We start from the raw sequence: 16,734 nt of genomic DNA on the forward strand, positions 1-16,734 counted from the left end.
AAAATAAAAACAGGCCAGGTGCGATGGCTCACGCCTGTAATCCCAGCACTTTGGGAGGCCAAGGTGGAGGATCACTTGAGGTCAGGAGTTCGAGACCAGCCTGGCCAACATAGTAAAACCCAGTCTCTACTAAAAATACAAAAAATTAGCCGGGCGTGGTGACGGGCGCCTGTAATCCCAGCTACTCGGGAGGCTGAGGCAAGAGGATCATTTGAACCCGGGAGGCGGAGGTTGCAGTGAGCCGAGATCGCGCCACTGCACTCCAGCCTGGACAACAGTGCGAGACTCCATCCCAAAATAATAATAAAATAATAATAATAATAATAATAATAATAATAATAATAAAATAAAGAACAATAAACTAGTTCTGTCACTCATGGTTTAGAACTTGCTGAGAAAGAACTGTCTTTGAGCTGGGCTCGGTGGCTCACACCTGCAATCCTGGCACTTTGGGAGACTGAGACGGGACGATGGCTTGCATCCGGAAGTTTGAGACCAGCCTAGGCAACATGGATACCCACTTTGTAGAGACCAAAGATAAAAAATTAGCCAGGTGTGGGGGCACATGCCTGTGGTCTCAGCTACTCAGGGGGCTAAGGTGGGAGAACTGCTTGAGCCCAGGAGGTGGAGGCTGCAGTGAGCCATGATCATACCACTGCAATCAGCTAAAAAAAAAACAAAATAATTTTCTTTGGATACTTACAAACTGTTCTGTCTAATAAGTGAAAATGACCAGAGACCAAAATGAAAAATATATTAGGCTGAATTACACCAAATTGTCCACATCCCCCATTTTTGACCACACTGCAATTAGGTGTTTCAACCCAACGCATTTTGAACCCCCCGTGTATTTTGCTTGTATCTAGAAAATACTCATATGACCAACAAGAAAAATAAAATGTTCACTAAGAATGAGAAAATTCAGAGAGTGTAATCACGCAAATCCCAGTGATTTAAATAAGCCACAGGGAGTGCAGCCAGCCCTTCACAGCATCTTCCAGGATGGCCCCCGCCCCAGGGCAAGTGTCACTGCTCCTGTGTTCCTGAGACACTGGGGCCCCTACCCAAGGTCAGGCAGGGAACAAGTGTGGCTGGGACTGGGCTTCAAAATCCAAGCCGGGACACCCTGCTGGGCTGTATTCCTCCCCAGTCTCGTTTCCTGGTGTACCACGCGAAACTACTTCTATTTCCATCCATCCCACAACGCACCCTCTTCCACATTTTGACACTGCTGGAATGCAGATTAATCTCACAGTTGGGGTCTGTCTTGATTTAACTGGGCACGCCTTTTTCTTGGCACTATATGAAACAGGGTGCCTCCCCAATGACAGCGCCTTCGATTTGATGAAATATCACAGCAGTGTTTAATACACAGGCTGTCGTGAGGTAGAATGCCTGTGAGGCATCTGTGCAATGAGACATTCTGCAGCTGGGGGAAAGATTGAGGCAGGTCTGTATGCTGACTTGGGATGATCTGAGACTTCTTAAGAGAAAAAGGAAGGTGCAGGGATGGGCAAGGTAGCTCACTCATGTAATCCCTGCAATTTAGGAGGCAGAGGCTGGAGGACTGCTTGAGCCCAGGAATTCCAGACCAGCCTAGACAACATAAGAAGACCACGCCTTTATAAAAAATTTCAAAATTAAGGAAGGTGAAGAACAGTATACAGTTCTGTGCTCCTAAGTTAGAAAATAATGAACTTCTGCAGACACATGCTCACATAGGCACAAACATCTCCAGAAGAGAAGTCATGATCCTGGAGCCCTGCCTGCCTCCAAGGGAGGGGAACTGGGAGTCGAAGGAAAGGAACAGCCTCTAATAACAAATGGGAAGCACTTGCTATCATCAACTATCCCTACTCCCACCCATTATGAAGGAGGAACTGGGGCACAGATTGAAAAAACAGATTCCAGAAAAACAGCAGTTGCTCCAGGCTTGGTAGCTGGAATTACAAAAGGCACGCTGCCCTCCCCACCCACTCAGAGACTGGAGTCCCCATAACCCATCTATGTCCACCCCACGGAGGCAGAGATTTCCACCTGCTTTGAACACAGTTCTGCCCCCAGAACTCATGGTGGATACTCAGTAGATACTTGGGTAATGAAAGAGTGAGGCAGCCAAAGTCCAAGTGGCCCCAGGGCCAGGGCGCAGCAGGGCCCAGTGCAGACCCGGGCAGAGCACGCACTGAGCCCTGGTGCACACCCGGGCAGAGCGGTGTTGGCTTCTGCACTCCCTGGCCCAACATCTCAAGCCAGTATTTCTCAACTTGCTTTAACCCATGCCCCCTTAGGAACAAATTACAGCCTAATTCCCAAACCCTACACTAATATTCCTGTTTTTCAAAAAAAAAAAAAAAAAAAAGCAGGGGCCGGGGACAGGGCAGGAGCCCATTCCATGACAGGCTTTTTTCTTTTTTGTTTCTTTTTGTTTTTGGAGACAGAGTCTCGCTTTGCTGCCAGGCTGGAGTGCAGTGGCTCCCAGGTTTAAGCGATTCTCCTGCCTCAGCCTCCAGAGTAGCTGGAACTACAGGCACCCGCCACCATAATTTTTGTATTTTTAGTAGAGACAGGGTTTCACCATGTTGGCCAGGATGGTCTCGATCTCTTGACCTCATGATCTGCCTGCCTCGGTCTCCCCAAGTGCTGGGATTACAGGTGTGAGCTGCTGTGCCCAGCCTTCCATGACATGCTTTATCAGACATAGTTGTCCTCTCACAAATTTTAAATTTTTTTAATGCTGACTCTGAGTAAATGATGGCGGATTGGGAAAAAAAAAATCACAGATCTCCTAAGAGATACAGTGAAGATATTAAAAAGGAAAATATGTCTCTCATATATAAAGATCTTGAGAGACTGTCACGTGAAGATGGCAGATTGCAGACTAAGATGTACAGCGTGGTATCATCTTTGTTTTCAAAGACAGGGGTGGAGAGAACACAGATGGTCCCTCTGTGGAGAGAACCCAAATACATGAAGGATGGCACTGCCACACCACCAGCCCAGAAGCAGCTCTGGGAGGCTACTCCAGATGGGAATCAGGAGCACAGGCCCTGGACCCACCCCAGCTGGGGCTCCAAGAGTGGCTCTGCCACCTGGACCAGCTCAGCCCTCCCAGCTCTCCCCTCCACCAGGGCCTGGGCCTGGGGCTAAGAGGTTGGCGGGCTGTCGGCGCAGAGCACCGCGCGCAGGGCGGGGTGGAAGGGAGGGTGCCGAAGACACTCGCAGGGGCGGGCCTACCCCACCTACCCTGGCTCCCACTGCCCACCCTACAGAAAGCTCCAGAAACCACAGCAATGCAGGAGGTTATCTGGGAGTAACTGGGGCTCGCCTGCTGCCTGACTAGCTTCCGATCCAATTCTAACTGGACCAAAGTTGCAAGGTTGCAGCACTCAGAATTCCAGATGAAAAGCAAGGGCCTCTGTCCAGGATCCTTCTCAAGGGTTTGCAACATGGCGTCTGGGGCAAAGGGGAGCTCCCCATGAAGCTGGGCCTCAAGTATCTTCTAGCCCCCAGAGGAGAGCCCCTGGGTAAACCACGACTGTAAAAATAACAGCACTGAGTGGCTAGCTCCAGACACCACCTCGCTTGATTCTCAAGAGCACTGCAATTCTCAAGAGCCAGCATTTCTGCTGTGGGGACTGAGGCACATGGAGGTGGAGTCACCTGTGAAGGTCACACAGCAGGGATGTGGCAGAGCTGGCACTCACCTGTGCACAGCCTACTCCTCCTTAGCACCACCCGCCTGTCCCTGAGCCTCAGTGAAGCGCTGAAAGCTACACGAGACTCAGGAGGGTAAAGCAGGGACCCTCTCTAGGGAAGGCTCATGGGACACCCAGCCAGGGAGCCCACGGGAAAAGCAAAGGAAGAACTCTCCTCGTAAGCCATGATCTGCACCCGCTTTTCAGAGAGGGGCCCCCACCCCTGCCACTCAACAGCAGTCCCAAGAACACCTTCCACTTGCAGAGGCTGGTACCACTGTGCGTTATGGTGGAGGACTCCTGTCGCCCTCCCAGCAACCCTGTGTAGTAGGTACTGCCATTCACTTCATGCTAAAATGACAAGACCGAAGCACAGAGAGGCTCATCTGCCCACCGACAGAGGCCAGGGACACAAGAAGTGCCCAGGCACTTCTACCTCCAAGAGCACTTCCCCCATCGGTATTTTCTGGAACCTTCTCATCCTCATTTGGGCTCAGGGCCAGGGGAGGGACATGGGGGAGCCACGTTCGCCATACCAACACTGGGAAGGGCACAGTACGGGGCAAGCACAGGCTCTGGGCCAGGAGCTGTGGGGTCATTGCCACCCAATGCGCTGCCTGCCTTCCGTACCAGCTGGGGACCTCACAGTGGGTGAGAGGACAGGCTCTGGGGGATGGCCTGGACGTGGATCCCAGCTCTGCCCCTTCCTGCAGGCAACACTGGGCAGGTTGTATGCCCTTCCTGTGCCTCGGTGGGTGAGGCACTAGAGGGTCCTATCAGGGTGAAATGAGACACTAGACATAAAGTGCTGAGAGCGGTGCCCAGCACATTGAGGTCTCAGAAGGCTGTCATGAGAGTTCACCCAGCCGGCCTGCAAATGTGGAGCATTTCTGTGCACCAGGCTTGTTCAGGGCACTGTGGATGCAGCAGGGGACAAGCCCATCATGGCTCCTGACCTCAAGGGGAGGACAAGTGTGTAGAAGCTCCAAGGCGGGGGCCAAACAGGGAGACTCCTTCTCAGAGGGCAGTCAGGGGAGGCCTGAGGAGATGACGTTTAAACCAGGACCTGAACAATGGCCATCCCCAGTGCCTAGAACAGGCCCTTGGCACACAGCTATGAAATAAATGAAATGGAGGGAAGGAGGCAGGGGATTGGGAGGGAAAGGAACCCAGGCAGAGGGAACTGCATGGCAAAGACCCCAGGGCAGGAGCAAGCTGGGGTGTCTGTGAAAGGCACACAGGTGCCAGAATGGCTGGAGCCAACAGAGAGGAGTGGAGGAGATGAGGACAGAGAGGAGTGCAGGAGATGAGGACAGGGAGGAGTGGAGGAGATGAGGACAGGGAGGAGTGGAGGAGATGAGGACAGGGAGGAGTGGAGGAGATGAGGACAGAGAGGAGTGCAGGAGATGAGGACAGGGAGGAGTGGAGGAGATGAGGACAGGGAGGAGTGGAGGAGATGAGGAGAGAGAGGAGTGCAGGAGATGAGGACAGGGAGGAGTGGAGGAGATGAGGACAGGGAGGAGTGGAGGAGATGAGGAGAGAGAGGAGTGCAGGAGATGAGGACAGGGAGGAGTGGAGGAGATGAGGACAGGGAGGAGTGGAGGAGATGAGGACAGGGAGGAGTGGAGGAGATGAGGACAGGGAGGAGAGCATGCCCAGACCGCTCCGGCCTCTACGTGCCACCATGTTAGAGATCTGGGTCTTATCCTCAGCACCACAGGAAGTCGCTGAAGGGTTTTAGTCAGGGGGGAACAGGCTCCAAATTTCTGTTTTAAGTCAGTAGCTGCTGTGTGGGCTACGGACTGGGGGCAGTGAGAGGAGACCCCGGCATCCTCCAGGAAAGAGATGCTGGTGGCAGAGGAGACAGAGGTAAGAAAGGTACCAGTGCTGCGTGTGCCAAAGCTGCCATGGGCAGGCCCTGCGCCAGTGCCTTCATGTTTACTTCCTCCTCTACACCACATGACAGCCAGGGAACTGAGCCCCACTGAGGGAGAGACACGGCAGCTGGCCTGAATCCAGGGCCTGGACCCCAGCCCTGGGCCATCCTGCGGGGCACCCCAGAGAGAAGCTCGGCGAAGCAGAGGTGGCAGGGCTGTCCTTCATGCACAAGCCCGTCCTCACCGCTTCAGGAGTGACAGCTGACTGTGGGGACTCTCCCCTAACCATCACCTCCCCGACCTAGAGGGGCATTTACAGCTGGAGGGCATCTGGGGCCCTCCCTGTGCACAGATAGTCTGCCTTGTGAGGAGAAAATAAATTAATATATGAAAAGTCCTCGGAACAGGATCTAGCTCAGAGAATTTAATTATTTTTTATTTATCCAACAAACATTTACTGAACACCCATTTGTGTGCCAGATACATACATAAATATAAATGTCCCACTTGGTGGACAGGTGCTATGAAGAAAAGCACAGCTGGGGAAGGGCAAGACAGCGAAGGGAGGCAGGGCAGGACGCACTGGGGTGGCAACACTGGGGCAGAGACCTCGTGGAGTCGGGGAGAGCTGTGATGGCATCTCAGGGAGGAAGGCCTTAGACAAACGCGACAGCAAGCGCTGAGGCCCTCGGGCAAGAGATGTGCTAGGCATGTTTAAGGAACAGCAAGGAGACACGTGGCTAAGTGAGGGTGCTTGTGGTAGGAAATGCTTCTGGAGAGGTCGCTGGATCATACAGGACTCTGCAGGACACAGCACGGACCTTGGAGTTTACTCTGAGTGGGAGTGAAAGCCATTCAGAGTTCTAAGCAGAGAAAATACATGATAAGATTTACATCAAGGCCAGGCACGGTGGCTCACGCTTGTAATCCCAGCATTTTGGGAGGCCGAGGCGGGCAGATCACCTGAGGTCAGGAGTTCGAGACCAGCCTGACCAACATGAGAGAAACCCCATCTCTACTAAAAATACAAAATGAGCTAGGCATGGTGGCGCGTGCCTGTAATCCCAGCTACTCAGGAGGCTGAGGCGTGAGAATCACTTGAACCCAGGAGGAAGATGTTGCAGTGAACCAAGATTGCACCATTGTACTCCAGCCTGGGCAACAAGAGTGAAACTCTGTCTAAAAAAAAAAGAAAGAAAGATTTACGTCAAAAAGATCACAGATGGCCAGGCACAGTGGCTCATGGCTGTAATCTTAGCACTCTGGGAGGTTAAGATGGGCAGATCACTTGAGCCCAGGGGTTCAAGACCAGCCTGGGCAACATGGTGAAACCCCATCTCTACAAAAAATACAAAAATTAGCCTGGTGTGGTGGCAGGCGCCTGTAGTTCTAGCTACTAGGGAGGCTGGGGTGGGAGGATCACCTAAATCCGGGAGATTGAGGCTGCAGTGAGTCGTGATTCTGCCACTGCACTGCAGCCTGGGCAACAGAGACCCCATCAAAACAACAACAAAAAGATCATACTCACCTGATGCACTATTAAGTATTCTTGCCTGCCAAGACCAGGGGTCTGCAAACTTTTTCCATCAAGGACCAGAAAGCTGGGTGTGGTGGTTTGTGCCTATAATCCCAGCACTTTGGGAGGTGGAGGAGGGAGGATTGCTTGAGACCAGGAGTTCCAGACCGGCCTGGACAACATAGCAAGACTCTGTCTCCACAAAAAAATTTAAAAATTCGCCAGGCATGGTGGTGCATACCTTTAGTCCCAGCTACTCAGGATCCTGAGGCGTAAGGATGGATTAAGCTCAGGAGTTTGAGACTGCAGTGAGCTATGATTGCACCGCTGCACTCCAGCCTGGGCAAGAGAGCAAGAACTTGTCTCTAAAAAAAAAGTTTTAAATTTAAAAAATTTTAATTAAAATTTTAAAAGGGCCAATTATTAAATTTTTTAGGCTTTGCAAGACAGTCTTTGTCACAACTACTTAACCCAGCCACAGTAAGCCAAAAGCAGCCAGACTATTCATGAACAAATGGACATGGTCATGTTCCAATAAAACTTTATTTACAAAAATGGAAGGCAGGGCCATAGTTTGCCAACCCTGTTCCTGGCCTAATTCTAGTTTACAAGAAATACAAACATGGGGAACAAAAGTAAACAACACCAAAAGGCAATAATATGACACACCCAGAAGGTGTGACATTCTACAAGACAACTAGCCTGGCTTGTCAAAAAAATAAATAAATTAATAAAAAATCAATGTCTTGGGGAGGAAAAAAAAAGACAAAGGGCTGAACTAGATTAAATAAAACAAGTCAAAGAGACATGTACCTTGAATGAATACTGGTTTTAAAACAATGTTCTAAAGGTTGCATATCCTTCAAAAGGTAACTAAAGAAATTCAAGTACGGCATGGATAAGGAGAAGTTACTAGTAAACAAAGATTATAATCATCTCAGGCGTGACAGCATCATGATTCTGTAGGAGAAAGTCCTTATTCTTAGGAGATGCCTGCTGAAACACTAAGAATGTCACTAAGTATGAACACAAGTTCAAGTTCAGCATAAAACACAACCAGATGAAGCAGACACGGTGAATGCGGGACTGCAGAGTCTAGGAGTGGGGCGCGTGGATGTCCATTCATTATACTATTCTTTCAACTTTTCTCCATGTGAAACACGTCTGCAGTGAAGTGGGGGACAGGGAGGAGGGTCTCTCCAGCTGGAGAGGCAACCAGGAGCCCAGTGAGGAGGCGCTGCAGCACCTAGCCAACAAGCAGTCACCGACTGGCACCCACCTGCCCTGCAACCCCTGCCTCCCTCCCCAGGCTTAAGAGAGGCCAGCTGACATCAGCCTGTGTGGGCCAGGGCTGTGAGGACAGCATCAGTCAGCCAGGAGCAGAGTGGAGGGGGCCTCCCTCTTGCTGGGTTTCTGGTTCACCCCCTCCACCCACCCATAGTTAAGGTCAGAAATCTGGGACCTGGTCTCTTAGTCGTTCCAGCAGTTTTCTCTTTGGCAACAGCAGCAGGTACCAAGAAGAAAAGGCAGGTGGGGCTCTCCAGCCTACAGAATCTTGGTAAAGGAAAGGGCATGTTGTCTTGTGAAAATGGAAACGAGACCATCTCTCCTGCCTACTAAAACACCTTGTCAGCTCCACCTTGTCAGTACCTGATGTGCCAGGTACTGCTGCATCAGCCGCTCCTATTTATCATTCCCCTGCATCGTGTAACTACCCTGGGACAAACCGCAATTTACTAAGTGCCTGCCAAGCCCTGTGGGGATCTCCACCTGGAGTCCAAGGCCTTGGCTGAGCTCTCCAGCTTCGAGCGCCTCCACTTCCCCTCTTCCAACACTCCTGGCCCCTTGGTTCTCTGGTGACACAGAACCCCCTGTAGTCTCTGGAATGCATGAGCTATTTCACCTCCAGGTCTTTGCATATGCTGTCCCTTCTGAACTTTCTCCTTGCTATCTCCGTGGCCAAATCCTATCCAGTCTTCAAAACCCAGCTCAACACCCAGGACCTATACACCCACTGGTCTCGATCTGTTTTTACTGGCCATTCATGTTTTGGTCCATAGTTTTCAACTGAGTAGCACCTCAGCTGGCTTGAGATGGTAATTTTGTTCCCCTCAGTGGGGCAAGTATATTTTTTACCTTGGGAGGATGTGCAACAATAATTATAGTATAGATTATAGTAACAAGTCTCATGATATTGTGGGTTCCTGAGCTGTACTGTCCAAGAAGGTAGCCACTAGCCATATGTGGCTCTTTAAATCAATTAAAATAAACTAGAAAAAATCCATTCCTTGGTGGCTGTATTTCAAATGCTCAATCGGCACAAGCAGTCAGCACAGGCAATCGGCACAGGCAATTGGCACAGGTGCCTACTGGACAGTGCAGATAAAGGGCATTTCCACAATGGCCGGAAGTTTTCTTGGACGGCATGATTTTAGGGCTCTCTAGAGGGTCTGCTGAAACCTTACCCCATAGATAAGCTAGAAGACTGTTTCTCAAAGTGAGGCCCAAAAGGACAAAGTGGGAAAAAGAAACATTTCCCACTGATTACAAAGGGCAAAGCTCCTTAATCTATAAAGAGCTAATACATAAATAAGAAAAAGACCAACTACCCAACAGAAAAATAGACAATATAGACACTTCAGAATAGGAACTCACATGGCCCTTGAGGGTCAAACTCATCCACAGAGAAAGAAAGGAAAGTTAAACACCCCGAGGTGCTGAATTTTTCCACTGCTCAGACTGGTACAAATCCAAATGTTTGAAAACACAAGGCCATGGGGGCACTCTCAGACATCGCCTAATAGAAACATCGCAAAACCACAAACTTATTTTCCCTGTGCCTCGGCAATCCTGCATCTAAGCACTCGTCACACAGGTCTACCTGTGCACACATCAAACGAGACAGACACGGCTATTTCACTGCAGCATTCCTTATAATGAGCCAAAGGCTGGAAACAACCCCAGTCATCACAATAAAGAACGGCTAAATAAACACACTTGGGACACGCATGTCCAACTGTCCAAAAAAAAAAGCAAAACATGAAACAAAGCAGCTGCATCTCTCCATATATCAAGGCAAATTCCCCAAGGTACACTAAGGGAAAAAGCAAGTCCAGAAGCATGTACAATGCTACCTTTTGTATTTAAAAAAAAAAAAAAAAAGGCAGCCAGGCACAAAGGTCTCCCTCTGCTCTTTGAGGGCACCTAAGAACAGTGATTAACTGGGGGGCAGGGAGGTGGATGGAAAGGGCAGGGTAGGGGAAGCTCCCACTAGACACCTCCTTATACTGTTTCAATTTTGAAATAGATGAGTCTTTATCATCTCTTCTGATTACTAAATTGATCTTTTTAAAATGACTCTCTGGACCACCTGCCTCAAAATCAATAGAGATGCTCATTAAGAATGTAGGTCCTGCCGGGCAGGGTGGCTCACACCTGTAATCTCAGCACTTTGGAGGCCGAGGGAGATCACCTAAGGCCAAAAGTTCGAGACCAGTGTGGCCAACATGGCGAAATCCTGTCTCTACTAAAAATACAAAAATTAGCCAGATGTGGTGGCACGTGCCTGTAATCCCAGCTACTTGGGAGGCTGAGGCAGGAGAATCACTTGAACCCGGGAGGCGGAGGTTGCAGTAAACTGAGATGGCACCACTACACTCCAGCCTGGGCAACAGAGCAAGACTCTGTCTCAAAAAAAAAAAAAAAGGGGGTCAGGTGTGGTGGCTTGCACCTGTAATCCCAGCATTTTGGGAGGCCGAGGCAGGCGGATCACCTGAGGTCAGGAGTTTGAGACCAGCCTGGCTAATATGGAGAAGCCCCTTTTCTACTAAAAATACAAAAACTAAGCCGGGCATGGTGGCACACGCCTGTAATCCCAGCTACTTGGGAGGCTGAGGCAGGAAAATCGCTTGAACCCAGGAGGTGGAGGTTGGAGGTTGCAGTGAGCCAAGATCATGCCACTGCATTCCAACTTGGGCAATAAGAGCGAAACTCCATTTCAGAAAAAAAAAAAAGAATGTAGCTCCCTGACCCTGGGCAGATCTCCAGGTAGTCACAGGTCTTGAGGCGAGGCCCAGCGGTCTAGACATTTCACGAGCTCTGCCTGTGATTCCGATGCACCCGCAAGTCAAAGGGCAGAGTAGGGTCTTCAGACTAAGAACCCCAGCTCTTCTCAGCCCCAGCTGGAGAGACCCCCCAACCAGAAGCGCAGATAGGAAACCCCTATGTAGGGTCCCAGGGAAAATCTCTCCAGCTGTACCTTTTCTCCTCACACCAGGCTTGCTCCCTCTCAAGGGCAGCCACACAGAGGCCCAGACTGACCTCTCGTCTGGAGAATCCACGTGGAAGGTCCTCTCGATGACTGTGGTCCACTGCAGGCAGCGTATGACAAAGGTGTTGGGTCGCGGCCTCTCGGTCTTCATCAGCTGGCATTCTGCAGGCAGAGGGAACAGACAGCAGGGGGCTGAGGGGATAGCCCTGCTAGCCTGCAGCCCAAAGTGCCCGAGCCACCTCCCACAGGCCTAGCCCCATGCTAGATGGTGCTGGGGACACTCTAGGGACTGAGACAGCCCTGGTCCTGTTCTCACAGGGCTCAGGGTCTAGTGTGTGTGTGTGTGGAAGGAGAGAAGCCCACCAGAGAGTGATGGCTCCATAGACAGGGCCGCGATGGGGACAAGCCTAGAGGTGTGCAGAAGCTCAGAGGTAGCATCCAACCCAGCCTGGGGGGTTGGGGGGCTTCCCAGAGGAAGCAGCTTCTCTGAACTAAGCCCTGAAGGAAAAGGGAACTTAGAGGGTACACGGAGAACAGACGCTCAGAGGTGAGAGGAGGTTCAACATCCTCAGGGGGTGGCCAATTCTGCTCCAAGGGTGAGGAGGGGTAAGTGAGAGACAGCCCTGGAGAGGTGGGCTGGGGCCAGCCAGGCAGGGCTTTGGAGGCCATGGGAAAGAATCTGGACTTTGTCCTCAGGGCAGCAGGGAGCCATAGAAGGCTTTAGATAGGGAAGAGACACAAACAGACTGAGAATGATCCCTCTGGCTGCCATGTAGAGGGTGAGGCTGGAGGTTGGAAGGCCAGGGAGGTGGGGAGCCAGCTAGGGAGGATGGGGCCACACCAGAGTGGAGCCCTGCAGACAGGCCATGGGAAGAGGGCACTGAGGACCAGGCCCAGGCCTCTCGGCCTGCTGTCCCTGAGACAGAGACAGGAATAGAGCTGGGAGAGGCCTGAAGGTCAGGTTGGGATGTGGCACTTATGAGGACCTTGAAGACACTTGGGGAGATGTGTCCAAGGAGCAGCCTGGGACAGGCTGGGAGTTCTAGTGAGACACTGAGGTTGGGAACAGATGTGTCAGGGTCACCAGCACATGTGGAGAGCAATCAGGAAAAGGCTTCATGCAGAGCAGCGTGGGACGGGGACTGGGTTCCACAGCATGGCAGGAGAGGATAGTGGTCTGAGCTAAGGCACTGGCAGTGGAGATGGGGGTGCCTCTGTAATGTTCTTAGCAGGCAGAACAACAGGACATGGTGACCCATCAGGTCAGCAAGGAAGGAAGGCGGCAGAAAGGGGCAGCGATGTGGACAGGACCATATTCTCCAAGGCTCAGTCAAGAGCTTGGGGCTTGTGAAACTTCACTGCCAGGGTCTGGCTGGAAGACATCCCTTTGGGTATTACAGAGGGACAGAGGACGCGAGGCCAGCCCTGTGACCAGCTGAGTGGGAAGCTGTGACCCCTCTACGTCCGAGGGACAGAGGATGGAGGCTGTTACCAAAGCACAGGATGGGAGGCACCTGCCACCAGTTGGGGACTCCAAGGCCTGGCTGACAGAAGCTGGAACCACAAGGAGGCGATGCATGGGGCTGGGTGTGGGCAAATGCCCTGGCTTCTCCCTCCCTCCCACTCTGCATCTCCCCGCAGGACAGCCCCGCCTGGCCAGCTAACAAGGAGGGAGAGCAGGGGAAGGGTGAAAACAGATCCAAGGGCAAGCAGGCCCAGGACAGGCCCATGGCTCAATGACCAAGTCCCACAAGCCCCTAAGACGTGCCAGCCATCCTGTGAGCACCAGAACACTGACCCACTCATCCCAAGACACACCTGCTACGGAGAAGTTGTTTAAGGGGGGTAGAGTCTGATCAGGGGCCTCGGGCCTCTCCTTGTACCCAATGAAGGAGCCGTCGCTCTTCAGCAGGAAGTACCGTGGCCTCCAGGTCTTGATGTATTCACCTGAAATGAGGCAGGAAGGGAGGGAGAGAGGTTAGGACAAGGTTGAGTGATGTCCCAGGTAGGCGGCAGGAGGCCCAGTGTGACGGTGACTCACAAGGGGTACCACGGGGCGGGGAGGTGCGGGGGACACACGAGAATGCCTCTCCCAGAGGAGCCCTCCAGGTGGCCCCTGCTGACGCAGGCTGGGGCACTGGGCTGAGCCCGGGTGATCCACAGGTCATGCCTGGCAGGAAGGTGCCAGCAGCAGTGCCCTGGGGCACCAGTTGCCTCAGCGTGTGGCAAGGAGCAAGCTGTCTGTGCCAGCTCCTGGCCTAGTCCCAGGGGAGGCCCAGGCTTCCAAACACACATGCCCTGTGGCCCTGTAAGGCCAAATCCCATGGGCTGGGATTCACCAATACAGCTGTGCAGGTAGCTCCAATGCCAAAACACTTCTGTGCCAGGCAGGGTGGCACTGCTGCCACACCCTCCCAGCGCCCCTTGACTCTTTCCAACTGTTCTTCACCATGAATATCCAAGCACCCTATGCACACAAACACACACACACACACACACACACACACACACACGAACCCACTCATCAGAGAGCTGCTAAGGATTAAAAGGAGATGGTGAAACACATCCACACAAAAACTTACACACAAATGTCCTCAACAGCATTATTCATAACAGCCATCGAGTGGAAACGACCCTAATGTCCATCAACAACGAATGGATAAACAAAATGTAGCAGATTCATACAACGGAAAACTATTCAGTCATAAAAAGAAACGAAGTACTGAGACATGCTGCCATGTGGAGGGACCGTAACTTATGCTAAGTGAAAGAAGCCAGTCACAAAGGACCACGTATCATTATGACTCCATTTATATAAAATGCCCAGAACAGGCAAATCTACAGAGATGAAAAGTAGGGCCCGGCACGGTGGCGCACACCTGTAATCCCGGCACTTTGGGAGGCCGAGGCGAGCGGATCACCTGAGGTCGGGAGTTGGAGACCAGCCTGACCAACATGGAGAAACCCCATCTCTACTAAAAATACAAAATTAGCCAGGCATGGTGGTGCATGCCTATAATCCCACTACTTGGGAGGCTGAGGCAGGAGACTCCTTGAACCTGGGAGGCAGAGGTTGCCGTGAGCCGAGATCACACCATTGCACTCCAGCCTGGGCAACAAGAGCGAAACTCCGTCTCGAAAAAAAAAAAAAAAAAACAAAAAAAAAAACCTGAGTATGGTGATGGATGCACAACTCTGAACATACTAAAACCAACTGAACTGTATGCTTTAAATGGATGAATCATGTAGTACATCAGTTTTACCTCAACATGGCTATTAAACACCAGCACAGTGGCTCCCACCTGTAAAATCCTAGCACTTTGGGAGGCTGAGGCAGGCTTAAGTCTGGAGTTTGAGACGAGCCTGGGCAACATAGTGAGATCTGGTCTCCACAAAAAATGTTTTTTAATTAGCCAGGAGTCGTTGCGTGTGCCTGAAGTCCCAGCTACTCAGGAGGCCGAAATGGCAGAATCACCTGAGCTCAAGAAATTGAAGCTATGATGGTGCCACTGCAGTCCAGCCCAGTGACAGAGCAAGACCCTAGCTCTTAAAAAAAAAAAAAAAAAGCATTTACAAAAGCCTCCAAAAAAATACTTAACCAAGGGGGTGAAGGGCTTGTATACTACAAAACATTGTTTAAAGAAATTAGAGATCTACATAAATGCAAAAACATCCTGTGTGCATGGATTAGAAGACAATATTGTTAAGATGGCAATACTACCCAAAGCAATATACAGATTCAATGCAATCCCTATCAAAATTCCAACAGGCTTTTTCTTTTTTCAGAAATAGAAAAGCCAATCCTCACATTCACATGGAATTTCAAAGGGCCCCAAAGAGCCAAAATAATATTGAAAAAGAAAAATAAAGTTAAATACTTTCCAATTTCAAAATTTACTATACAAAGCTATAGTAATCAAAACAGTACAGTTTATACAGGACAGACATACAGACCAATGGAAGAGAATTCAGAGCCAAAAAATAAACCCAAATATCTACATTCAACTGATTTTCAACACAGATGCCAAGATCATTCAATGGGGAAAGAACAGTTTCTTCAACAAAGAGACTATATTTTTTCAAAACGAAAGAAAAGAAACCTAGAAGAAAAAATATCCTTACAATTTTTTTTGTTAATTTAAATACTGTTCCTTGCAGAGCAGGGAACAGTGACCCATAGGCAATGTGCCCAGAGTAGCCTATCCTCACAATCTTATCCCTATTTTGCAGATGAAGAAACTGAGGCAACTGGATATCCACATTCAAAAGAATGGATATCACATTCTTTTGTGATATCCTACTTCACACTGTAAACCATATACAAAAATAAACTCAAAATGAATTGACCTGAATATAAGAGCTAAAACTACAAAAAAAGTCTAAGAATACATGAGTAAATCTCATTACTTTGAATTTGGCAATGAATTCTTAGATGACACCAAATGCACAAGCAACAAAAAGAAAAACTTCAAGTGAACTCATCAAAATTAAAAACCTTTGTGCATGAAAGGACACTGTCAAGAAAGTAAAAAGATAACCTACAGAATGGGTGGAAATACTTGGAAATCTAATAAGGGTCTATTAACCAGAACACATAAAGAACTCTTACAATGCAACAACAAAAAGACAAACTGCCTGATTTTAAAATGAGCAAAGGACTCAAAGAGATATTCCTCCAAAGATACACAAATGGTCAACAGAAAGATGAAAAGATGTTCAGCATCATTAGTCATCTGGCAAACATAAATCAAAATCACGATGAAGGCCGGGCGCGGTAGCTCACACCTGTAATCCCAGCACTTTGGGAGGTCGAGGCAGGCGGATCACTTGAGGTCAGGAGTTCAAAACCAGCCTGGCCAACATGATCAAACCCCATCTCTACTAAAAATACAAAAATTAGCCGGGCGTGGTGGCACATGCCTATAGTCCCAGTGCTTGGGAGGCTGAGGCCTGAGAATCATGTGAACCCAGGAGGTGGAGGTTACAGTGAGCTGAGATCGTGCCACTGCACTCCAGCATGGGAGACAGAGCAAGACTCTGTCTCAAAAAAACAAAACAAAACAAAAACAAAAAAATCCACACACACAATGAGGTACAACTTTACATGCCCAAGGATGGCTGTAATGAAAAAAAAACAAGTGTTGGCAAGGATATAAACTGACACCCTCATGCACTGCTGGTGGGAATGTAAAATGGTGCAGCTGCTTCTTCAAAAAGTTAAATATAGAATATATCACCCCGAGGCCGGGCTTGGTGGCTCACGCCTGTAATCCCAGCACTTTGGGAGGCCGAGGTGGGCGGATCCCAAGGTCAAGAGATAAAGACCATCCTGGCCAATATGGTGAAACCCCATCTCTACTAAAAATATAAAAATTA

The 16,734-nt window shown here is 50.0% G+C and overlaps 1 protein-coding gene and 1 long non-coding RNA gene across 5 annotated transcripts in view, besides 5 other annotated features; both read right to left on the reverse strand.

Annotated features, from left to right (window-relative positions):
- Positions 1–16,734, reverse strand: part of AKT2 (AKT serine/threonine kinase 2) — a 55,029-nt gene that overhangs the window by 13,433 nt on the left and 24,862 nt on the right. For all 4 annotated transcript variants that reach the window (NM_001243028.3, NM_001243027.3, NM_001626.6 and 1 more), the window contains 2 exons: positions 13,177–13,305; positions 11,409–11,520 (listed from right to left, as the gene is read on the reverse strand). In NM_001243028.3, the coding sequence (NP_001229957.1) occupies positions 11,409–11,509 (101 nt within the window). In that variant the 5' untranslated portion in view covers positions 11,510–11,520; positions 13,177–13,305. The remainder of the gene's footprint in view (positions 1–11,408; positions 11,521–13,176; positions 13,306–16,734) is intronic.
- Positions 5,984–10,578, reverse strand: LOC107985289 (uncharacterized). Its single transcript, XR_001753939.2, has 2 exons — positions 8,551–10,578; positions 5,984–8,291 (listed from the first exon to the last, which is right to left on the reverse strand). It is a non-coding gene; the product is annotated as an uncharacterized LOC107985289 (long non-coding RNA).
- Positions 7,872–8,496: an enhancer, noted in NCBI's record as "H3K27ac-H3K4me1 hESC enhancer chr19:40757528-40758152 (GRCh37/hg19 assembly coordinates)". NCBI's record gives its function as "activates a minimal SCP1, AML or CMV promoter by ChIP-STARR-seq in naive H9 embryonic stem cells {active_cell/tissue: H9 hESC(naive)}" and the evidence as "EXISTENCE:reporter gene assay evidence [ECO:0000049][PMID:30033119]".
- Positions 8,497–9,120: an enhancer, noted in NCBI's record as "H3K27ac-H3K4me1 hESC enhancer chr19:40758153-40758776 (GRCh37/hg19 assembly coordinates)". NCBI's record gives its function as "activates a minimal SCP1, AML or CMV promoter by ChIP-STARR-seq in naive H9 embryonic stem cells {active_cell/tissue: H9 hESC(naive)}" and the evidence as "EXISTENCE:reporter gene assay evidence [ECO:0000049][PMID:30033119]".
- Positions 11,137–11,638: an enhancer, noted in NCBI's record as "H3K4me1 hESC enhancer chr19:40760793-40761294 (GRCh37/hg19 assembly coordinates)". NCBI's record gives its function as "activates a minimal SCP1, AML or CMV promoter by ChIP-STARR-seq in primed H9 embryonic stem cells {active_cell/tissue: H9 hESC(primed)}" and the evidence as "EXISTENCE:reporter gene assay evidence [ECO:0000049][PMID:30033119]".
- Positions 11,639–12,138: an enhancer, noted in NCBI's record as "H3K4me1 hESC enhancer chr19:40761295-40761794 (GRCh37/hg19 assembly coordinates)". NCBI's record gives its function as "activates a minimal SCP1, AML or CMV promoter by ChIP-STARR-seq in primed H9 embryonic stem cells {active_cell/tissue: H9 hESC(primed)}" and the evidence as "EXISTENCE:reporter gene assay evidence [ECO:0000049][PMID:30033119]".
- Positions 12,511–13,253: an enhancer, noted in NCBI's record as "H3K4me1 hESC enhancer chr19:40762167-40762909 (GRCh37/hg19 assembly coordinates)". NCBI's record gives its function as "activates a minimal SCP1, AML or CMV promoter by ChIP-STARR-seq in naive H9 embryonic stem cells {active_cell/tissue: H9 hESC(naive)}" and the evidence as "EXISTENCE:reporter gene assay evidence [ECO:0000049][PMID:30033119]".

Source organism: Homo sapiens, chromosome 19, assembly GCF_000001405.40.
Source record: "Homo sapiens chromosome 19, GRCh38.p14 Primary Assembly".
NCBI lineage: Eukaryota > Metazoa > Chordata > Mammalia > Primates > Hominidae > Homo > Homo sapiens.